The sequence below is a fragment of the Homo sapiens genome, chromosome 3, assembly GCF_000001405.40.
Source record: "Homo sapiens chromosome 3, GRCh38.p14 Primary Assembly".
NCBI lineage: Eukaryota > Metazoa > Chordata > Mammalia > Primates > Hominidae > Homo > Homo sapiens.
In genome coordinates this window covers 154,862,868-154,887,931 of record NC_000003.12, presented here as the reverse complement: position 1 = coordinate 154,887,931, position 25,064 = coordinate 154,862,868, and the positions used below count along the sequence as shown (strand labels likewise).

The 25,064-nt window shown below is 37.1% G+C and overlaps 1 long non-coding RNA gene across 1 annotated transcript; it reads left to right on the top strand.

Annotated features, from left to right (window-relative positions):
- On the top strand, positions 518–24,214 carry LOC105374170 (uncharacterized). The gene is made up of 3 exons (XR_924602.1): positions 518–603; positions 6,354–6,395; positions 23,711–24,214. It is a non-coding gene; the product is annotated as an uncharacterized LOC105374170 (long non-coding RNA).
- The last annotated feature ends 850 nt before the right edge of the window (positions 24,215–25,064 follow it).

Sequence of the window (25,064 nt, the reverse complement as noted above, 5' to 3'; positions counted from 1 at the left end):
CCACGCCTGGCTAGTTTTTGTAGTTTCAGTGGAGTCGGGGTTTTGCCATTTTGGCCAGGCTGGTCTCAAAGTTCTGACCTCAGGTGATCCACCCACCTTGGCCTCCCAAAGTGCTGGGATTACAGTCATGAGCCGCCACACCTGGCCTCAATGTCTTCCGTCTTAAAATTAAACACCTGTCGGGGTTTTAGATCTTTGCATCTTGACTCAAGATTCCAAGTCCTTCAAGGGAGAATACAATTAGCCTAACTGGAGTCATAGGCCCAGCACTTGAATAGCGGCACCTGGACTAATAATCCCATGAAGCCAGCAAACATAGCAGTGGAGTGAAAATTCACTCAAGGGATTGAGAAAGTGTTTCCAAATCAAAGAGGAATAGATACAGACAGCTAAAACACAACAAATATACGTTGTACATGGCAACACTACACAAAAACCTTTTATATCTAAGTTCTGGAATTTAAAATGGAAACCTTTACATTTTCTCCTGCTTCCTGATTCCTCTTTTACCTCTGGCCTTCATTCAGGAGGAATGTGGAGATAAATGCCCACAAGTGCATCGCTGATATGTCCTACCAAACAAGGTAGATAGACTAGCAATCGGTAAGTCACAGAATTCGAAAACAAGTATTAACACTTTTGGTTCCGTAGTTATCTAAAGGCTATTTGCTTTTTATCTGGGCTGTATTTTGTATTTTTTCCAAGTATAAACTTATTTGTCCTCATAATTCAGAGAAGTGAATTCCCTCACCTTAGAGTCCTCATTTTTGTAGGTACTATGAAAGCCACATTACTTAACATTTTTGTCTCAATTTTTCCACCTACAAAACAGGAGCTAGATACAATCTTGTTCATGCTGCCATATTTAATGCTTGTCTAAGTATTTATGATATTCAGACATAGTCATCTTTGTTTTTCCTTCAGAAACTTCAGCTTTCAGTCAGGTTGGCCCAGGTAAAAAGATGAAGACAGGTCAAGTCTGATTCTGGGGCTTTCTGTTCACTGCTATGGTTGGTTTTTCGCTTGTTTCTTCATGCCGTTTTTTCACATTTCCATTTTCTCTCTTAGTGAGATAATTAATGTAAAAAGTGAACTAAATGGTGTTTGGGGATGGTAAGTCTTGAGCATGTAGACATTGTATCCTGAGTCTCACAGTTCTGCACAAGTTGCTCAAATCACACTGTAAACGTCATCACATTTTCCAGAGCCCAGGATGGCTGGTTGGCTTCCAGCTATGAGAAATGGCTTCCTGAACATGGGCTGGTGAATCTGATGCTTTCAAGATTTGTGTAGCCTGTGTCTTCTCAGCTCTGAGGATTTAGTCATTAAGTTCTCAGCAGGAAGGGGAATTCTAGGGCTGTTTACATCACGTAGTACAAACCACATTTGATTATGTGACACATCAAGAATTCATTTAAATCCATAGACAAATCAAGATTCCTCACAGAATTACACTCATTTTTTATGACTCATGGGAACGTTTTTCTTGTAAATTCAAATATGAGTGATTTTTAAAAATTCCTAAATGGGTCTCCTAATTTGTTCCTAAATTGTTCCTAGATATTTTGTAATTCCTTGTCTTTCTCTTTTGAGAAAAAATGAAAAACCCTTGCTCCTTTATCCTTAGAATACCCTTCAGGTCCTGTTTCTCACTTTCTCTTTTATTGCTTAAGCAACTGATTAGGTTTCTTTACCTAATATCAGGAGCTTCATATCTAGAAAAAAATATTTTTTCCAAGTGAGCTCTGGAAATGTTTGGAAAAGAAATAGAATTTCTTTAGATTGACATTTTAAAATATTTGTGATAGCTCATAACATATTATGAATGTGATAGAATCTCTAACTTAGCCTCATATAAATTTTTAAAAAATATTTGTTTAAATGCCCTGGCACCAACGTCTGTATTAAATTGCCTTTGAAAATAATGTAAAGTTCTACACATTTAGGAAGATCAAAACAAAGCCATCTTCATAATGATACATAGTGCTGAGCTAGGCTTGGGGTAATATTAATGGTTACTGAGAACCTACTATTTTTGTTTACTTATTTTTTTAGAGTATTTTTAGGTTCATAGCAAAATTAAGGGGAAGTACATAGATTTCCCATTCTCCATGCCCCTACATATGCATAGCTTGCCTTATTATCAACATTATTTACCAGAGTGGTACATTTGTTGCAATTGATGAACCTACGTTGACACATCATAATCACCCAAAGTCTGTAGTGTACATTACAGTTTGTTCTTGGTGTCGTACATTCTGTGGGTTTAGACAAATGTAAATATGAAGATACATATGCATAATTATAGCACCATATGGAGTATTTTCACTGCCCTTAAAATCATCTGTGCTCCATGTATTCATTTCTTCCTTCCTGCAATCCCTGGCAACCAGTGATCTTTTAGTCTTGCCTTTCCAGAAGATCGTGTTGGAATCATACAGCATATAGATTTTTCAGATTGGTATCTTTCACTTAATAATATACACTTAATATAATATATATATAATATACATTCCTCCATATCTTTGTAGCTCATTTCTTTTTAGCACTGAATAATATTCTAATGTCTGAGTGTACCACAGTTTATTAATTTGTTCATTCACTGAGGATATCTTGATTGTTTCCAAGTTTTGGCAACTATGACTAAAGCTGTTATAAACATTCATGTGCATTTTTGTGTGTATGTGTGTGTGGACATAACTTTCCAACTCTTTTGCATAAATGCCAAGAAATGCATTTGCTAAGTTGTGTGGTAAGAGTATATTCAGTTTTGTAGAAACTGCCAAACTCTCTTCAACAGTAGCTGTACCATTTTGCATCCCCACCAGCAATGAATGAAAGTTCCTGTTGCTTGGCATCCTGGACAACATTTTGTGTTACTGGTGTTCCAGACTTTGGACAGTCTAATATGTGTGTAATGCTATCTCATTATTGTTTAATTTGCATTTCTCTGATGACATATGAAGCAAAGCATCTTTTCACATGCTTATTTGCATTTGCATTCATGTTTTTTCTTGGTGAGGTGTCTGAGTCTTTGGCCCAGTTTTAAAGATTGTGTGTTTTCTTATTCTTGAGTTTCAAGAGTTTTTGTATATTTTAGATAACAGCCCTTTTCATATGTGTCTTTCGCAAATATTTTCTCCCAGTCTGTGGCTTCTCTTCCCATTCTCTTGAAATTGTCTTTCACAGAGGAGTTTTTAATTTTAATGAAGTCCAGCTTATCAATTATTTCTATCATGGATGGTGCTTTTGATGTTTTATCTAAAAAGTCACTGTTACGCCCAAGGTCATCTAGGTTATCTCTTATGTTATCTTCTAGGAGTTTTCTAGTTTTGTGGTTAACATTTAGGTATATGGTTCATATTGAGTTGATTTTTCTGAAGGGTGTAAGATTTCTGTTTAGATTCTTTTTTTTTTTTTTTTTCGCAGCTAGGTGTGCAGTTATTCCAGCATCATTTGTTGAAGAGTATCTTTTATCTATTACATTGCTCTTTTGACAAAGATCAGTTGACTGTATTTATGTGGGTCTGTTTCTGGGATCTCTATTCTGTTCTATTGATCTATTTGTATATTCTTTCACCAATATCACACTGTGTTGATTACTGTAGCTTTGTAGTAAGTTTTAAAGTCATGTGGTGTCAGTCTCTAACTTTGTTCTTTTTCTTCAATGTCATCTGGACTATTCTAGATTTTTTTCCTTCCCCCATAAACTTTAGAATCAATTTGTCAATATCTACAAAGTAACTTGGATTTTCATTGTAATTATTTTAAATCTATAGACCAAGTTGGGAAGAACTGACATCTTGATAATGTTGATACTTTCTATCCATGAATATGGAATATCTCTCCATTTATTTAGTTCTTCTTTGATAGCTTTCATTAGAATTTTGTGGGTTCACTCATATAAATCTTGTACATATATTGTAAGATTTATACTTAAGTACTTTCTGGGGTGTGCTAATGTAAATGTTATTGTGTTTTTAATTTCAAATTCCCCTTGTTCATTGCTGGTATATGGAAAATCTATTGACTTATTTATTCATTTTTTTTTGAGACAGGGTCTTGCTCTATGGTCCAGGCTGGAGTGCAGTGGTGTGGTGCAATCTCAGCCCACTGCAACCTCTGCATCTTGGACTCAGGTGATCCTCCCACCTCAGCCTCTCGAGTAGCTGGAACTACAAGCATGCATCACCACGCCTGGCAATTTTTTCCATTTTTTTAGTAAAGACAGGTTTTCTCCATGTTGACCAGACTGGTCTCAAACTCCTGGGCTCAAGCAATCTGCTCAGCTTGGACTCCCAAAATGCTGGGATTACAGGCGTGAGCCACTGTACCTGGCCACTATTGACTTTTTTATATTAACTTTGTATCCTGGAGCCTTGCTAAAATTGCTTAGTAGTTCCAGGAGTATTTTTTGTTTGTTTTAAATCAATTCTTTGAGAGAATCATATCATCTTTACATAAAGAGTTACACTTCTTCCTTCTTAACCTGTATACATATTATTTCCTTTCCTTTTTCTGTCTTGTTGTATTAGCTAAACTTCCAGTACAATGTTGATAAAATGTGATGAGAAGAGACATCCTTGCCTTGTTCTTGAAATTACTGGGAAAGTTTTATGTTTCTCACCATTAAGTATCATGCTAACTATAGGTTAGCTGTAGGGTTTTTGTATATATTCTCTCTCAAGTTGATGAAGTTCCCCTCCATTTCTAGTTTACTAAGCCTTTTTATTATGAATGAATGTTAGAGTTTGTCAAATGCGTTTTTTGCATCTATTGATATGATAATGTGGTTTTTATTTATTAGCTTGTTGATGTGATGGAATACAAAAATTGATTTTCAAATGTTGAACCAAACTTGTATATCAAGGATAAATACCACTTGGTCATGGTGTATGATTTTATATACATTGTTTGATATGATTTACTGAGGATTTTTACAGCTATTTTCATAAAATGTATTGATCTGTAGTTTTTATTTCTTCTAATGTCTTTGTCCAGTTTGGGTATTAGAGTAATATTGGCCTCATAAAATGAGTTAGGAAATATTCCCTCTGCTTCTCTACTGTGAAAGAAATTGTAGAGAATTGCTAACATTTCTTTCTAAATATTTTGGAGAATTCATCAGTAAACTTATTCGGTCTTGGTGCTTTCTGTTTTGGAAGTTTATTTTCAATTCCATTTCCTTAATATGGGGCTATTCAAATTGTCTTATTTCTTTTTCTGTGAGTTTTGGCAAATTGTGTTCTTCAATAAATTGTTCCATTTTATCTAGGTTATCACATTTGTGTGTGTGGTGGTGTTTGCAGTATTTCTTTATTATCCTTTTAATGTTTATAGGCTCTGTAATGATGTCATGTCTTTCTTTTCTGATATTAGTAGATTCTGTTCTCTTTTTTCCTAGTTTACCTGGCTAAAGGCTAATTAATTTTATTGAACTTTTCAAAGAACCAGCTTTTGATTTTATTGATTTTCTCTATTGATGTCTTATTTTCAATTTTATTAACTTGGTTTTTGCTCTGATACTTATTTTTTTTCCTACTGATTACTTTGGATTTAATTTGCTCTTCTTTTTCTAGTTTTCTGAGATAGGAACTTAGAATATTGATTTTAGATTTTTTTTACTAATATGTGCATTTTAACACTATAAATTTTCCTCTAAGCACTGCTTTTGCTGTATTTCACAAATTTTATATTTTAAATTTTCTCTTGAGATTTCTTCTTTGAACCCCATGTTATTTAAAATCATGTTGCTGACCAGCCTGGGCAAAACAGCAAGACCCTGTCTCTACAAAAGTTATAAAAAAATTAGTGCAGCATGGTGGTGTGTGCTTGTAGTCCTAGCTACTCAGGAGGCTGAAGCAGGAGGATTGCTTGAGCCCAGGAGTTTGAGGATGCAGTGATCTATGATCATGCCACTGAACTTCAGTCTGGGTAACAGAATGAGACCCTGTATTTTTTTTTAAAAAAAAGCATGTGGCTTAATCTGTGTGCATTTTGGGATTTGGTATTTTCCAATTATCTTTTTGTTATTGACTTCTAGTTTAATTTCATTTGGTCTGAAAGCAGACACTGCCTAATTTATATTCTTTTGAATTTGTTAAGATGTGACATATGGTCCTGAATAAGGTCTATATCCATGAATGTTTCATATGAGTTTGAGAATAATTTGTAATTAGCTGTTGCTGGATAAAATAATCTATAGATGCCAGTTATATACAGTTGATTGATGGTGTTGTTTAGTTCAACTAGGTCCTTACTAATGTTATGTCTGCTGGATGTGTCCATTTCTGAAAAAGAGATGTTGAAGTCTCCAGCTATAATGATGAATTCATTTATTTCTCCCTTTGCAGTGCTATCAGTGTTTGCCCCAGCTGTTTTGACACTGTTGTTAGGTGAGTATACATGAAGAATTGTTATATATTATTAGAATTGACCCCCTTATCATTATGTAGCGCTCTTCTGTATCCCTGATAACGTTCCTTGCTTTGAAGTCATCTTTGTCTGAAATTAATATAGCTATTCCATTTTCTTCTGATTAGTGTTAACATGCCATATTTTTCTCTATTCATTTAATTCTAAACTATATGTGCCTTTATATTTAAAAGGGGCTTCTTCCAGACAATATATAGTTTGGTATTTTTTTTTAATCTACTCAAACAATATCTGTCTTATAGATGGTGCATTTAAACTTTTGATGTTCAAAATGATTGTTGATGGTTGGATTAACATCTACCATATTTGTACTGATTTCTCTTCAAGGCTTTCTTTTCTTTTCTTTCTTTCTTTTTTTAGAATTATACTTTAAGCGTTGGGGTACATGTGCAGAACATGCAGGTTTGTTACATAGGTATTCATGTGCCATGTTGGTTTGCTACACCCATCAACTCGTCATTTACATTAAGTATTTCTCCTAATGCTATCCCTCCCCCAGCCCCCCACTCCCTGACAGGCCCTAGTGTGTAATTTTCTCCTTCCTGTGTCCGTTTGTTCTCATTGTTCAACTCCCACTTATAAGTGAGAACATGCAGTGTTTGGTTTTCTGTTCTTGGGTTACTTTGCTGAGAATGATGGTTTCCAGTTTCATCCATGTCCCTGCAAAGGACATGAACCCCTTCTTTTTTATGGCTGCATAGTATTCCATGGTGTATATGTGCCACATTTTCCTTATCCAGTCTATCATCGATGGGCATTTGAGTTGGTTCCAAAACTTTGCTATTGTGAACAGTGCTGCAATAAACATATGTGTGCATGTGTCTTTATAGTAGAATGATTTATAATCCTTTGGGTGTATACCCAGTAATAGGATTGCTGGGCCAAATGGTATTTCTAGTTCTAGATCCTTGAAGAATTGCCACACTGTCTTCCACAATGGTTGAACTAATTTACACTCCCACCAACAGTGTAACAGTGTTCCTATTTCTCCACATCCTTTCCAGCATCTGTTGTTTCCTGACTTTTTAATGATTGCTATTCTAACTGGTGTGAGATGTTATATCTCATTGTGGTTTTGATTTGCATTTCTCTAATGACCAGTGATGATGAGCATTTTTTCATAAGTTTGTTGGCTGCATAAATGTCTTCTTTTGAGAAGTGTCTGTTCATATCCTTTGCCCACTTTTTGATGGGGTTGTTTGTTTGTTTTTTTCTTGTAAATTTGTTTGAGTTCTTTGCAGATTCTGAATATTAGTCCTTTGTCAGATGGATAGATTGCAAAAATTTTCTCCCATTCTGTAGGTTGCCTGTTCATGCTGATGGTAGTTTCTTTTGCTGTTCAGAAGCTCTTTAATTTAATTAGATCCCATTTGTCTATTTTGGCTTTTGTTGCCATTGCTTTTGGGGTTTTAGTCATGAAGTCTTTGCCCATGCCTATGTCCTGAATGCTATTGCCTAGGTTTTCTTCTTGGGGTTTTTATGGTTTTAGGTCTTACATTTAAGTCTTTCATCCATCTTGAGTTAATTTTTGTATAAGGTGTAAGGAAGGGATCCAGTTTCAGCTTTCTGCATATGGCTAGCCAGTTTTCCCAGCACCATTGATTAAATAGGGAATCCTTTCCTGATTTCTTGTTTTTGTCAGGTTTGTCAAAGATCAGATGGTTGTAGATGTGTGGTATTATTTCTGAGGTGTCTGTTCTGTTCCATTGGTCTATATCTCTGTTTTGGTACCAGTACCATGCTGTTTTGGTTACTGTAGCCTTGTAGTATAGTTTGAAGTCAGGTAGTGTGATGCCTCCAGCTTTGTTCTTCTTGCCCAGGATTGTCTTGGCAATGCAGCTCTTTTTTGGTTCCATATGAAGTTTAAAGTAATTTTTCCCAATTCTGTGAAGAAAGTCATTGTTAGCTTGATGGGGATGGCATTGAATCTATAAATTACCTTGGGCAGTATGGCCATTTTCATGATACTGATTCTTTCTATCCATGAGAATGAAATATTCTTTCATTTGTTGGTGCCCTCTTTTATTTCCTTGAGTAGTGGTTTGTAGTTTTCCATGAAGAAGTCCTTCACATCCCTTGTAAGTTGGATTCCTAGGTATTTTATTCTCTTTGAAGCAATTGTGAATGGGAGTTCACTCATGATTTGGCTCTCTGTTTGTTATTGGTGTACAAGAATGCTTGTGATTTTTGCACATTGATTTTGTATCCTGAGACTTTGCTGAAATTGCTTATCAGCTTAAGGAGATGTGGCGCTGAGATGATGGGGTTCTCTAAATATACAATCATGTCATCTGCAAACAGAGACAATTTGACTTCCTCTTTTCCTAATTGAATACCTTTATTTATTTCTCTTGCCGGATTGCCCTGGCCAGAACATCCAATACTATGTCGAATAGGCATGGTGAGAGAGGGCATCCTTGTCTTGTGCCAGTTTTCAAAGGGAATGCTTCCAGTTTTTGCCCATTCAGTATGATGTTGGCTGTGGGTTTGTCCTAAATAGCTCTTATTATTTTGAAATACGTTCCATCAATACCTAGTTTATTGAGAGTTTTTAGCATGAAGCGCTGTTGGTATACCTGAAAATGATGGGGAGAATGGAACCAAGCCAGAGGCCTTTTCTGCATCTATTGAAATAATCATGTGGTTTTTGTCGTTGGTTCTGTTTATGTGATGGATTATGTTTATTGATTTGTGTATGTTGAACCAGTCTTGCATCCCACGGATGAAGCCGACTTGATCGTGGTGGATAAGCTTTTTGATGTGCTGCTGGATTCGGTTTGTCAGTATTTTATTGAAAATTTTTGCATCTATGTTCATCAGGGATGTTGGCCTAAAATTTTCTTTTTTTTGTTATGTCTTTGCCAGGTTTTGGTATCAGGATGATGCTGGCCTCATAAAATGAGTTAGGGAGGAGTCCCTCTTCTTCTATTATTTGGAATAGTTTCAGAAGGAATGGTACCATCTTCTCTTTGTACCTCTGGTAGAATTCGACTGTGAATCTGTCTGGTCCTGGACTTTTTTTGTTGGTATGCTATTAATTGCTGCCTCAATTTCAGAACCTATTATTGTTCTATTCAGAGATTTGACTTCTTCCTGGTTTAGTCTTCGGAGAGTGTACTTGTCCATGAATTTATCCATTTCCTCTAGATTTTCTAGTTTGTTTGCATAGAGGTGTTTATAGTATTCTCTGATGGTAGTTTGTATTTCTGTGGGATTGGCGGTGATATCCCCTTTATCATCTTTTATTGCGTCTATTTGATTCTCCTCTCTTTTCTTCTTTATTAATCTACCTATTTTGTTGATCTTTTCAAAAAACCAGCTCCTGGATTTATTGATTTTTTTTTGAAGGTTTTTTTGTGCCTCTATCTTCTTCATTTTTGCTCTGATCTTAGTTATTTCTTGTCGTCTTCTTCTGCTAGCTTTTGAATTTGTTTGCTGTTGCTTCTCTAGTTCTTTTAACTGTGATGTTAGGTGTCGATTTTAGATCTTTCCTGCTTTCTCTTGTGGGCATTTAGTGCTATAAATTTCCCTCTACACACTACTTTAAATGTGTCCCAGAGATTCTGGTACGTTTTATCTTCGTTCCCATTGGTTTCAAAGAACATCTTTATTTCTGTCTTCATTTCGTTATTTACCCAGTAGTCATTTAGGAGCAGGTTGTTCAGTTTCCTTGTAGTTGTGTGGTTTTTAGTGTTTCTTAATCCTGAGTTCTAATTTGTTTGCACTGTGGTCTGAGAGACAGTTTATTGTGATTTCTGTTCTTTTACATTTGCTGAGGAGTGTTTTACTCCAGTTATGTGGTCAATTTTAGAATAAGTGTGATGTGGTGCTGAGAAGAATGTATATTCTGTTGATCGAGGGTGGAGAGTTCTGTAGATATCTATTAGGTCCACTTGGTCCAAAGCTGAATTCAAATCCTGGATATCCTTGTTAATTTTCTGTCTTATTGATCTGTAGGGTGTTAGGGTGTTAAAGTCTCCGACTATTATCATGTGGGAGTCTAAATCTCTTTGTAGGTCTCTAAAAACTTGCTTTATGAATCTGGGTGCTCCTGTATTGGGTGCATGTATATTTAGGATAGTTAGCTCTTGTTGCATTGATTCCTTTACCATTATGTAATGGCCTTCTTTGTCTCTTTTGACCCTTGTTGGTTTACAGTCTGTTTCATCAGAGACTAGGATTGCAACTCCTGCTTTTTTTTGCTTTCCATTTGCTTGGTAATCTTCATCCATCCCTTTATTTTGAGCCTATGTGTGTCTTTGCATGTGAGATGTGTCCCCTGAATACAGCACATTGATGGATCTTGATTCTTTATCCTGTTTGCCAGTCTGTGTCTTTTAATTGCGGCATTTAGCCCAGTTACATTTAAAGTTAATATTGTTATGTGTTATTTTGATCCTGTCATTATAATGCTAGCTGATTATTTTGCTTGTTAGTTGATGCAGTTTTTTCATAGTGTTGATGGTCTTTACAATTTGACATGTTTTTGCAGTGGCTGGTACTGGTTGTTCCTTTCCATGTTTAGCGCTTCCTTCAAGAGCTCTTGTAAGGCAGGCCTGGTGGTGACAAAATCTCTCAGCATTTGCTTGTCTGTAAAGGATTTTATTTCTCCTTCTCTTATGAAGCTTAGTCTGGCTGGATATGAAATTCTGAGTTGAAAATTCTTTTCTTTAAGAATGCTGAATATTGGCCCCCACTCTCTTCTGGCTTGTAGAGTTTCTGCCGAGAAATCCGCTGTTTGTGTGATGGGCTTCCCTTTGTGGGTAACCCAACCTTTCTCTCTGGCTGCCCTTAACATTTTTTCCTTTATTTCAACCTTGGTAAATCTAATGATTATGTGTCTTGGGGTTGCTCTTTTCAAGGAATATCTTTGTGCTGTTCTTTGTATTTCCTGAATGTGAATGTTGGACTGCCTTGCTAGGTTGGGGAGGTTCTCCTGGATAATATCCTGAAGAGTGTTTTCCGGCTTAGTTCCCTTCTCCTTGTCACTTTCAGGTATACCAATCAAACATAAATTTGGTCATTTCACATAGTCCCATATTTCTTGGAGGCTTTGTTCATTTCTTTTTACTCTTTTTCTCTAATCTTGTCTCCTTGCTTAATTTCATTAAGTTGATCTTCAGTCACTGATATCCTTTCTTCTGCTTGAACGATTTGGCTATTGAAACTTGTGTATGGTTCATGAAGTTCTCATGCTGTGTTTTTCAGCTCCATCAGGTCGTTTATGTTCTTCTCTACACTGGTTTTTCTAGTTAGCATTTCGTCTAACATTTTTTCAAGGTTCTTAGCTTCCTTGCATTGGTTTAGAACATGCTCCTTTAGCTTGGAGGAGTTTGTTATTACCTACCTCTGAAGCCTACTTCTGTCAATTCGTCAAACTCATTCTCCATCCAGTTTTGTTCCCTTGCTGGTAAGGAGTTGTGAGCCTTTGGAGGAGAACAGGTGTTCTGGTTTTTGGAATTTTCAGCCATTCTGCTGTGGTTTCTCCCCATCTTTGTGGTTTTATCTACTTTGGTTTTTGAAGTTAGTGACCTACTGATGGGGTTTTGATGTGGATGTCCTTTTTGTTGATGTTGATGCTATTCCTTTCTGTTTGTTAGTTTTCCTTCTAACAGTCAGGACCCTCAGCTGCAGGTCTGTTGGAGTTTGCTGGAGGTCCACTCCAGACTGTTTTTGTGGGTATCACCAGCAGAGGCTGCAGAACAGCAACTATTGCTGCCTGATCCTTCCTCTGAAAGCTTCGTCCCAGAGGGACACCCACCAGATGCCAGCCAGAGCTCTCCTGTATGAGTTGTCTGTCAGCCCCTACTGGGAGATGTCTCTCAGTCAGGCTACCTGGGGGTCAGGGACCCACTTGAGGAGGCAGTCTGTCTGTTCAGAGCTTGAATGCTATGCTGGAGAACCACTGCTCTCTTCAGAGCTATCAGTCAGGGACATTTAAGTCTGCTGAAGCTGTGCCCACAGCTGCCCCTTACCCCAGGTGCTCTGTCCCAGGGAGATGGGGGTTTTATCTGTAAGTGCCTGACTAGGGCTGCTGCCTTTTGTTCAGAGATGCCCTGCCTACAGAGGTGGAATCTAGAGAGGCAGTCAGCCTTGCTTAGCTGTAGTGGGCTCTGCCCAGTTCAAACTTCCTGGCAGCTTTGTTTACACTGCGAGCATAAAACTGCCTACTCAAGCCTCAGTAATGGTGGACGTCCCTGCTCCACCAAGCTCGAGCGTCCCAGGTCTATCTCAGACTGCTGCGTTAGCAGCGAGGATTTCAAGCCAATGGATTTTACTTTGCAGGGCTCTGTGGGCAAGGGACCTGCCAAGCCAGGCACTGGAGGGAATCTCCTGGTCTGCCAGTTGCGAAGACTGTGGGAAAAGTGCAGTATCTGGGCAGGAGTATACTGTTCCTCCTGGTACAGCCTCTCATGGCTTCCCTTGGCTAGGAAAGGGAAATCCCCCGACCCCTTGCATTTCCTGGAGCTGTTCCTATTAGGCCATCTTCCTGGGCCCTCCCCAAGGTCTTCTTTTCTTTCTTTCCTTCTTCAGATGTCTCACTCTGTCACCAAGTGTGAAGTGCAGTAGTATGATCACAGCTCACTGTGGTCTCAAACTCCTGGGCTCAAGAGATCCTCCTGCCTCAGCCTCCTGAGTAGCTAGGACTACAGGCATGTGCCACCATGCTGAGCTAATTAAAAAAAATTTTTTTTGTAGAGATGGTGTCTCACTGTATTGCCCAGGCTGGTCTCAAACTCCTGGCCTCAAGCAACCCTCCTGCCTTGGCCTCCCGAAGTACTGGTATTACAAGCATGCCTGGCCCCTCTGTTCTTTATTTCTGTTTTTGTCTCCCATTACTTCTGCTTTTTGTGGTTTTAATTGATTATTTTACAGATCCATTTTCTTTCCCTTCTTAGCTTATTTATTTTTCTTCTTTATTTTTAAAAAAGGTTTTCCTAGTGTTTGCAATAAACATTTACACCTAATCCAAATCCACTTTTAAATTATACAATAGCATTTCAGAGATAGTGTGAATAACTTAAAAAATTGAATTTCTTCAGCACATTCTTTGTATCACTGCTGTCATTCATTTCACTCATATATAATCATACATAAACATATATAATCAAAAACATTGTTACTATTGTTATTTTGAAAAAATTATTATCTGTTAGATCAATCAACAATCAGAAAAGTTTTTTTCTTACTTTCACTTATCTTCTCTTTGTTGGTCTTATTTTCTTCACGTAGATGCGAGTTTCTGACCTAGGTCACTTTCCTTCTTTCTGATGATCTTCTTTTAACATTTCTTGCAAGGCAGGCCTACTGGCAACAAATTTTCTCCATTTTTATTTGTCTAAGAAACTCTTTATTTCTTCTTCACTTTTGAAGAATAATTTCACAGGGTACAAGGTTCTAGATTAGTGGTTTTTTTCTCTCAATACTATATAGATTTGATTCCGCTTTATTCTTGCTTGCATAGTTTCTGAGAAGTCAAATATAATTTGCTTTTCTAAGCAGCAGTCCCCAGACTTTTTGACATCAGGAACCAGTTTGATGGAAGACAATTTTTCCACAGATGGGGTCAGGGGGTGGGATTGGTTTTGGGTTGAAAGTCTTCCACCTCAGATCATCAGGCATTAATTGGATTCTCATAAGGAGTGTGCAACCTAGATCCCTTGCATGTGCAGTTCACGATAGCGTTCACGCTCCTATGAGAATCTAATGCTGCAGCTGATCTGACAGGAGGCGGAGCTCAGGTGGTAATACTCCATTGCTGCCGTTCACCTGCTGCTGTGCAGCCCATTTCCTAACAGGCCACAGATCAGTACAGGTCTCTGGCCCAGGGGTGAGGACCCCTGCTTTATAGGAAAGGTTCCCTGACCCCTCCCCACGTCCCCTTCCCTCGCCCCTGGCTTCTTTCAGAAGTTTTTATCTTCCATTTTCTATAATTTGAATATAGTAGGCCTAGCTGTTGTTTTTTGGGCATTTATCCTGTTTAATGGTCTCTGAGCTTCCTAATTTTATAACTTGGTGTCTGACGTTAATCTTTGGAAATTTTTAGTCATTATTGTTTCAAATATTTGTTCTGTTTCTCTCTTTCTTCTCCTGGTATTCCTCAGTATGAATAGATTACATGTTTTCTAGTTGTCCCACAGAGCTTGGATATTCTGTTCTATTTTTTTTCTGTTTTCACTTTGCTTTTCAATTTTGGAAGTTTCCATGGTCATATCCTCAGGCTAAGAGAGTCTTTCCTCAGCCTTGTCCAGTTTACTAATGAACCCATTAAAGGCATACTTTATTCCTGTGGATGCATTTTTGATATCTAGTATTTCTGATTGATTCAGTCCTAGAATTTCCATCTTTCTGCTTATATAATCTGCCCCTTTTTGCATGCTTAGTTTTTCCATTAAAGCCATTATCATATTAATTATAGTTTAAAAAATTCTTGGCTTAATTCCAACATTCCCGCCATGTATGGTTGGTTCAGATGCTTATTCAGCCTCTTCAAACTGTTTTTCTGCCTTACAGTATAACTTGTAATTTTTTGTTTAGAGGAAGACATGATTTACTGGGTAAAAAATAATTCGGTTAAGTAGGCCTTAGTCATGTGGTGATAAGGTATGAGGGAAGAAAGAGTGTTCTGTAGTCCTATGATTAAGTTTCAACTCTTTTAGTGAGGCTGTGCCTCTGGGCTGTTACTTCACAGTGCCTTCCAGTCCCCTCACTTAAGTGGAACAGTATGGTTAGAGGAGGCTGGAGCTGGGTATTTTCCTTTCCCCAACATGGAAAGCTAGAGGATGCAGAGTTGGATATTTCCCTTCTCCTATGTGAAAGGCCAGAGCTGAGTGGATTTGGATATTTCCCTTCTCCAGGTTAGTTAGGCTCTGATAATGCCCCAGAAGGTTAGACTTCTGTTAATTAGCTTCTCCTGAGGCTCTTGTTAAGAACAAAATGCTCTGATATCTTTCAAAATGGTTCCTTTTCCCATCCCCCTGACAGAAGTGTGAGGAGATTTTTTCCTCCGGCATTTACTGTGGTAATTTGCTTGATCTCCTGAACATAAATCTCACAGTATTGTGGGAGCCTCCCTATAACTGGGTTCTCCTGGAGTTTTTCTCTCTCAGAAGTGTCCACAATGAGCCTCCATCAATTTGTCCACTGCGGTTTGTGTTTTCCTCCCCTGACGCTGCTTCCTGACGTCTCAGCTTGCACATCTGCTCTGGCATTCGCTGTATCCACCTGTCTCTCCACTTTGAGGGCAGTGGCTTGCCTCATGTCCTCCTCTTTCTTTAAGACTCAAGAAGAGTTATTGCTTTTTCCGTTTGTTCAGTTCTTTTTTCACTCGTTGTTAGGACACAGCCATTGTTTCCAAGGTCTTTACATGTGGAACAGGAAACCAGAAGTCAGAGATGCTCTTTTTTATATGGAAAAATATATTTTATATGGAAATAATTTCAAACTTTAAAAAATAAAAATAGTAAAAGGAAAACTAATGTATCCTTTTACCTAATTCCCCTGTTGTTACCATTTTACTCTGTTTGCTTTGTTATTTTCATTTGCTCTCTCATTGAGTAACTACTCTTTTGCCAGATTTTTTTAATCTTCTCCCTATTTCTAATCTTCAGAGAAAATTTATTCAAAATTCATCCAAATTTTAGATATAAAGAAACTAAAGCTTTATGAGATGAAGTGGCTATTATTTTTTGCCTCTTATTCACCTTGTGTTTTCTAATTTTCCTTTGGAGAACCCTTACTCTTCACTCATGTGGTTCAGATGGATGGATCCTCTCCAGGTTGTAGGGGTGGGTTCGTGACCCATGCTTAGCAAGTGAAGGCAATGCATCTTCTTTGTTATAGCAATTAGTTCAGAGATGGGCATATGACTCAATTCAGATGAATTATAACCAATCAACATTAGCCCCAGAGCATTTTTCTAAAACATTTAGGAATGTAGTTCTCTTTCCCTTGGAGTTGTTAAACTGTAGAATACAAGTTTGGAGCTGTTAGAGACCTTTTTTTTGCTAACACAAGGAGACTTATAGTGAGACTGAGAATAAAGCTAACACAGAGAAAGAAAGAGAGTTCTGAAAGAAAGAGTCATAGATGCCTGGAATCATTATTTGCAAGATAATGACACAGTCATGTTAGACTTAGATTTCCCTTTTTGCCCAATATTTACCCTTGCAACATAGAATAAACTCCTGTTCTTTTCTACTCTATCCTTCTCTATTCTATTCTGTCTTCCTCTACTCAGTTATTTCCATTCCACTGGACACCACTTAAAAAGAAATAGTGGTTGATTTGAGATTCTGTTACTTGCCACTGAAAACATTCTGACTAATTGAGACACTACACTCTTTTCTAAGATTCCAAGGCTGTTTAAGTGTCAGAAGCTGGAATTTAAACTAAGTTCTGTCTTAGGCCAAACTCTTCCCTCTTGCAAACAGAAGGCCTCTCAATTGTACTAAGTGCTGGCAAATAAAGAGAGGAGAGAATTGCACACATGCAACTTCTTAAGAAGAATGTTTCAGGCTGGGCGTGGTGGCTCAAGCCTGTAATCCCAGCACTTTGGGAGGCCGAGGCAGGTGGATCACGAGGTAAGGAGATCGAGACCATCCTTGCCAATATGGTGAAACTTTGTCTCTACTAAAAATACAAAAATTAGCCGGGCATGGTGGCACATGCCTGTAATCCCAGCTACTCAGGAAGCTAAGACAGGAGAATCGCTTGAACCAGGGAGCTAGAGGTTGCAGTGAGCTGAGATTGCGCCACAGCACTCCAGCCTGGCGACAGAGCGAGACTCTGTCTCAAAAAAAAAAAGAAGAAGAAAAATGTTTCAGTAAACAAACTGTTTTTTAACATGTCTGTATTCCATATTATTATAGAACATCATATGCTCTACTGTGGCAAATAAAGAAAGATATAGAAATAAAAATAACTCACTGTGTAATGCTTATGAATTAATAGAAAATAAAAGTTATTTTTTAAAAGACAGGGAAAAAGACACATTGATAGTTTGATCATTTTGAACTACATAAATGGACAAAAATTTCTGTCTGAAAAAAAGAGTAAAGGGCCACATCATACCCTCAAACCATTACCCTTTTCTGATGTTTCCAGTACTCTCCACAAAGTCACTGGCTTCAGATCCTTTAGGTACATAACACGAGTCATTTTCAGTTCTCTCTTGCCACCACCAAAGGTCCCAAGACAAGCCCTGGTGATTCTAATTATAGAATATTATTTTATCTTTTATACTTCCACAGGCCTGGGCTTTTTTTTTGTATTAAGCTGGGACTGTTGTAACAATATATTATAAAAACAAAATATTATATTTGCCATGCTTCCGTTTTCAGGCAGAAGGACTTTGTCACCCAAGCATTTACTAAGCTAGCATTTTTCAAGTGATGGGCCTTAGTAGGTCACAGCCACTATTTCTTTTTAAGTGGAGTACAATGGAATGGAAATAACTGAATAGAGCAAGAGAGAATAGAATAGAGAAGGATAGAGTAGAATAGAACAGGAGTGTATTCTATGTTGCAAAGGTAAATATTGCAGCACAACATTTTTATGTACAACATTTTTATATACCTAAAAATATGGGTATTGATATGGATATAGGTATTGATACAGGTCTAGGTATATGATGTGAATGTGTTTGTGTGCATGCTTATGCATACTGGGTTGCCATATATAAAATATATTTCATATGTGAGTTTTCAACAAAAATGTTCAAAATCCAGTGAACTAGACAGAGCAGTAACTAGCAGTCAATCGAAGAAAATATATTAGCAGAATCTAGTTTATGCAAACATTGCTATAGGAATCATCATTACAACACAAGAGTGACCTTGCAGTATCTTTGCTGTGAAAATGACAGTGAATACAATCCTCCCTAAGTTCTGAACTCGTTCCAATGTGCTTCAAAGTTGGTCACAAAAATGATGCTTCCTGTGGAATAACCCTTATCTGTCACTGTTCTCTAAGCATTGCTTCTCTCCTCTCATCTCTGCCAAGTCACAGCATTACCTCCATTCAGAATCTTGTTCAAAACCTACTTCTTCCACAGAACTGTGAGAAACTTTGTCCTAAAAGAAACAGGTTAGACCAGGTGCAGTGGCTCATGCCCATAATCCCAGCACTTTGGGAGGCCAAAGTGGGCGGATCACCTGAAGTCACTTTTTTATATACCTAAAGACAGGCCTGGCCAACATGGTGAAACTTCATCTCTACTAAAAATATAAAAATTAGCTGGGTGTAGTGGCAGGCACCTGTAATCCCAGCTACTCAGGAAGCCGAGGCAGGAGAATTGCTTGAACCCTGAGGTAGAGGTTGCAGTGAGCCGAGATTGGGCCACTGCACTCCAGCCTAGGCGACAGAGCAAGATTCCATCTCACACACACACACAAAAGAAGTTAGTTTATACCTTATTTGATTAAAATCTTTTTAACTTATTACTAGCTTTGTAGAAAGTTTGAAAAGTACAGAGGAAAAAATGAAATACGGTATAAAGAAGGAAAGGAAAAAAAAAAGCAATCCATGCCAATCCTATTAACATTTTAGGTAGGTGGAAATGGCCTCCAAAGGCCAAAGAAAAAAATTTTTTTTTTTTTTTGAGTTGGAGTCTCGCTCTGTTGACCAGGCTGGAGTGCAGTGGGGAAATCTTGGCTCACTGCAACCTCCCCCTCCAGGCTCAAGTGATTCTCTTGCCTCAGCCTCCTGAGTAGCTGGGATTAGGGGTGCCCACAACCACGCCTGGCTAATTTTTTTTTTTTTTTTGGTATTTTTAGTAGAGACGGGGTTTCACCATGTTGGCCAGGCTGGTGTCAAACTGCTGACCTCAACTTATCTGCCCGCCTTGGCCTCCCAAAGTGCTGGGATTACAGGTGTGAGCCACCGCACCTGGCCAGAAAAATTTTTATTTGAGATGTTGAAGAGGAATCATCATAATTCCCCCAAATCTATTCCATTTAAGGTTTAAATTAAATATAATCAATGTGAGCACAAAACTTCGATAATTAAAAAATTAACTATCACTTCTGAGTTATAAGAAGAACAAGGATTTAACCAAAAGATTACTCGTGATTAAAAGATATTTATGAGAGTTGAGGTAACTTACTAGTTTCATTAGTAAGCTGTGCCGGTTTCTCTTTGATTCAAAAAGTGTTTTCAAAGTGTCACAATAAGTTTTGGGTTGATGAAAATATGATATACACAGTGGTGAAACCTGATGAGGAATGACTGGAAAATGTGTGAAAAGAAAACATGTGAGAAGTGTTAGACTAAGTCCTTGAGAGAAAAACAGGAATGGGTCTGTAATCCTAGTTCAAGTTTCCACGGTCTTTTTCCTTGTATCTCTGCCAACCATCTTTCTAAATAAATTAATAATAAAGCTTGCAGGAATAACAAATGTTTTGCTGAAATGCTGATATATTTTTATTTCTCTATTTGAACATCATGAAAGTACATTTGAGTTTATGAATATTAACTTTCATGGCCTCATTCACGATCTCATCTTTGCGTCTTGTCCCCACATTTCTGGGCCAGACTTGGAGCTTCCATTAATGTCAAACGGAGCTTTGCCCTAAGGCAGGGAACTGAAAGGTTGTAGTAACAAAATGAGGATTTGTCCTACTGGGAATGAGTAAAAGAAAAGGAAGTTCACTTTTGTCAAAGAAAGCAAAAAAAAAAAAGCCTATAGAAGTTGGAATAAAAAATAAAACTTTTTCAGATATCTTTGTTGTTTGAGATATAAACCAAGGCTATGTTGAAGTTAGCAATTTAACTTTATTCATTTGCCTTTCAGAAACAGTGTCATCTGTAAGCAGTAGCATCCTGTGATCTCTGCAGTCTTTTCTGAAATATCTCTTCTTATCATGGGTCATGAAAACTTACGATAGAAATTTAACAAAACACTTACTGTTTAAGAAATTAAGATTCCATCTTGGGCTTTCCTAAAGGGAAAAAGAGGAAAAAAAGTTTCTGTGTACTTTAGCAATACAACCCATGCAGAACTGGAAAACGACTAAATAAATGAAAATAATTTTGTCTCTGTAAAAGACAGGGCAGAGCCAGCTTTTGGTTGAATATCTGTCAAAACTAATGAAAGCCTGTAGTAAAGGCAAAAAGAATCAACCATCTTAGTTGGCCATCAAGGTAAACATCTTATACCTAGGTGCTCACCTTATTTTCTATGAGCTTTGCATGAGATAAACTGCATTTCATCTCAGACAAGCCAAAAGCCCTGGAAGTCCCTGCCCAGCCAGACTCTTTCCAGGGAAAACACAGAAGCCATAATCTGTTGAACCCTTGCAATTAAGTCGAACCATTTGAAATTGCTGGTTAAGAAGTACTAGGCACATTAGATAAGTTATTGCTGTAATCCCTACAATTTGGCTTTGAGATAGGCACTACCATTCACATGAAGCTGATGAGAAAGGAGGCCAGGGAGGTAATGTTATTTGCCTAGGATAGGGTCACTTGGCTTGTCAGTGTTGGAGTTGGGTTCCAACAAGATCTGACTCTAAAGCTAGTGATGAGTTAGTTTATCAGGAAACAAAAAGTTAAAAAGACATTCCTGAAATATTTTCTTTTTTTTTGGATGGCCAAAATTAAAAGTGTTTTACTACGAGTTAAGGTAAAGAGGGGTTCTACTCTCCTTGGAAAGACAAAGGGGAAAAAATGGGGGAAAGCTATTAATAAATGTAAAGGATTAAAATAAAAATTCATTACTGCAATGAAGGACAGAGTTAACTGTGTACAAGCCATATGCCTGGGACAAAATAAAGCAGTAATTTGCCTCTTAATAAATAATAGCAAGATGTGCTATATAAATGCAATGGTACTTGGCATACAAAAGGAAATTTAGAAACTTGAGAATACAAGCTGTTGTATTAGAACCCTTTAATGGTGTCTAACAAATCAGACCCAAATTATAATTCTAAGATTTTTTTTTAAATCAGCCATAGCACATAAATACGTGATATGAGCTTTCTGAGTTCACTTATCCATGTGCAGATGTACCCAGGTCATACTTTTTGCAACCCCAAATGTTTGCTCTGCCCTCTAAAGGGCTTAGAGGAATTCATTCAGCCAGTTGGTTTATTATGGATAGCTCCTTCACTCTGAGATTTAGATCAAATATGCTGAAAAAAGGTGGTTTTCTGTCTTTGAGTGAGACTAGTACATATATGTAATAAACACTGAACTTTTTTAAAAAAAGGAAACATTCACTGAAAGGCAAACTTTCACTATATCTCTGCATAATTGATCCAGGCCACTTAGTTGAGTAAAATGTGTTCAGTTAGTCACTTAAGATGTGACACGTACCACTTGGAACAATCTAGAAGTGAGGTTAACAAGGGCCTCTGATTCACTCAGTGAACTCTGAAGGTAGAATGAAAAACATTTATTAAAAAATCTATTACTTTTGTCATTTTTAATGACTCAATTAAAAAACATTATTTCCTTTAAATCTACAGTAGGGATCCAATATACTCAACTAGGCTTTAAACAAAATAATGGTTATAAAAGTCTTTCTGAAAATATGAAAAAGTTAAAGCATCACTAACAGCAACCTCTCAAAATAAGATTAAACAATTCAAAATGCCACCAGTAAATAATTGTAAAGAAAATACAGTTAACTCTTAAGTATTTAGTATGTTGTAGGTTTTTAAAAAACTTTTTGCATTATCAGTATTCATCTCTTTTTTTTTTTTTGAGACAGAGTTTTGCTCTTGTCACTCAGGCTGGAGTGCAGTGGCACAGATCTCGGCTCACTGCAACCTCCACCTCCTGGGTTCAAGCGATTCTCCTGCCTCAGCCTCCCAAGTAGCTGGGATTACAAGCGCCCGCCACCACGCCTGGCTAATTTTTGTATTTTTAGTAGAGATGGGGGTTTCACCATGTTGGCCAGGCTGGTCTTGAACTCCTGACCTCAGTTGATTCACCCACCTTGGCCTCCCAAAGTGCTGGGATTACAGGTGTGACAGTGTTCATCTTTTAAGCTTCTTTTCCATTCATTTTCTGACTTTTTAATCACCTGACTGTGCCTCAAGAACCAGTCTTGGTTCAATGAACAGGCTGGATGAGAAAGAAGTTTTGAAACTGAAGTCAACGTTAGATAAATTATAATAATGAACAAGGCTGAGCTGGGATTAGCATCACTACCTCAGAGAAAAATTTAAGAAGGTACCAAAAAACTCAGAAATGAAAACAGTATTTTAATACAATATTTTAAAAAATCAAAATTAATGCAAAAATTCATGATTAAAAAAACAAAAATGTAAATAAAGACATCTTGTTTGTTTGCCTGACAGTCCTGTGTTATTATGCAACAGGAACAGTTGTTTCCAATCAGCTCACAATTCTCAGCCAGTGCAACCCTCTTGGCTTCTGCCAGGAGGATCTATGAAGGCTGACAATGATGTGTAAACTATTTTAATTGTAGAACTTTTGTTAACTTTCCCACTTGGTTCAAAATATAGGAGGATATTTTGTTAGGTATATGTAGATTCACACTTTTAATTTTTTTCTTTTTACCTCGGGCTCCAACATGGTTTCATTTAACACTGATAATGGAGTTCAATAAGTGAGTCCCAGGCAGCTGGAAATTCAGAATTCATCAGCATTTGCTTTTTGGTTTCAAGATGGACGTGGTTCATGTTCTGGGAATTTCCTTCATACAAAGCTAGAAGTTACTTCATGGAGACCTAAAAAAATTAAAACATATTCTAGTTTTTCTGTCAATATTTTGCAAGGCCAAGATCAATCTCAGCACTGTGCTAAGCAAAAAGATGTATAATTCCTAGTGTAATGCCTGACATGGATTAATTGCCCAATACGTGTTTGTTCTTTGAGCTCTGAAATTCCCACAGGTGGGATAAAAAGTTCTTTTAGTTGTAAAGTAGAAAGTAATAGTAATGATAAATAATAATAATTCAAATTTATTAATATTTTAGTCCTTTATTACACTGACTTCAAAAAAATTATCAGTATTATTTCTAGTCTGCTATATTTATTTTCAAGGCTATGAAAATCTTGCTTCCAGCTCTCAGAACACAAAATCAAGACTATATATCCTAGCTTCTCTCCCCTTTTTTTAGACAAAAAAGACGTGGCATCTAAGTTTCTTTGACATTCTTCCTTATCTTGATGTGTGAAACTCCTTGAGGTCAAGTTCAGTGTCTCGAACATCATAACTTTTTAGTAAATGCATATTGAATTAAATGCTATGAATCTAAATTGTGGCAATAGCCTGACTACCAGTTTTTGTTTTATTTTCATCCAGGTTTCAAGGAATGGTGGCTTTCATGTGCTTGGCTAATTCCAGCCTGAAAGTAGCACAATGCTTCATGTACAGATGATCAAAAGTACCTGGATAAAGCCAAAACTCAGGAAACTCAACTTGTACCATGCTGTATGGGATGCTAGGGAGAAGTTCAAAAGATTTCTAGGCAAAATAACCTTGTTGTCTCCCTAAATATGTTCCAAGTAGCCTGAATCCCTCTCCTACACCTTGTGAAAATCTTTTTTCTGCAATTCAATATCAAAATTAGAGAAAAATAGAGAGTAATATATTACAGAAAAAACAGAAATGGAAGGTAGCAGCAAGTTGTAATGCAGTTTCTACAAGTGGAAGATTAGAGAGGAATGTTCCATTCAGGTGGCTTGAAGATCCTCCTACAAATGAATTCTGAGTTTTTGGTGTTTCTTTCTTTTCCTTCAGTTTGTTAAATGTGCCCATAATGTTAAACAAAAAAGACCCAATAAAACAAAAATGGCAGAAATTTTCTATCTTGTATCAGGTGGGTAGAACACAGATTTGGGATGAAATATTTCTGCTGTCATTTGAGATACCACATAAGCAACAATCTCGAGCATGTGTTGCCTTAGAAACAAGTCAGGAAATAACGCCTAGATCAGGTAAGGTAGGATGTTTTCATATAGAGCATTCACTTTTTGGTTTTAAGGGGCATAGAAAGGTGACTAAAATAATTGGTTGAGAATACACACATAATTATTTTTACACAAACCCCAAAGTGTGCAGCTAGCCTCTGGAGAAGCAAAAGTCCAGCATATTTTGTTGCCTAAAGCTTAGTGGGATATTAATGTGCATGGTAAATATTCAGTACTTTTGAAGTTCGATTTTGATATTGGTTATCCTTATATGCAAATCTCTTAAAAACCATGTTACGTGGTTTTGAACTTTTTGCTCAGTAGGGAAATGTATATGTATTTTTTCAGATCAAAATAAATTACATTTTTCCTTTTCATTGTATGGTTATTAATAACCCCACACATAAAATGCATTCATTAATATATGAGGTGTAATATAAATAATAAATTCCTTACTGTTGTTTCTTAAGGTATTCAAAGCCTGCGATAAAGTACTATTCTATTTGCTCACTAAAAATTAAATAACTACAAACTTTATAAAACAGTGTTATACAGGAGAAAAATTTGGCCTTGTATTATTGCTTGTAGAGAGGTAATCTTGAAGTATATAGCTAAGAATATAGCTAGCTTAGTGTGTCTTAAAACATAAAGTTATTAGAGGAAATATTTCTGACGTGTTGACCTGGATTTTGAAAGTCATGGAGCCTTGTTTAAAAATGATATGTAGTGGCGTAGTTGGTATTACT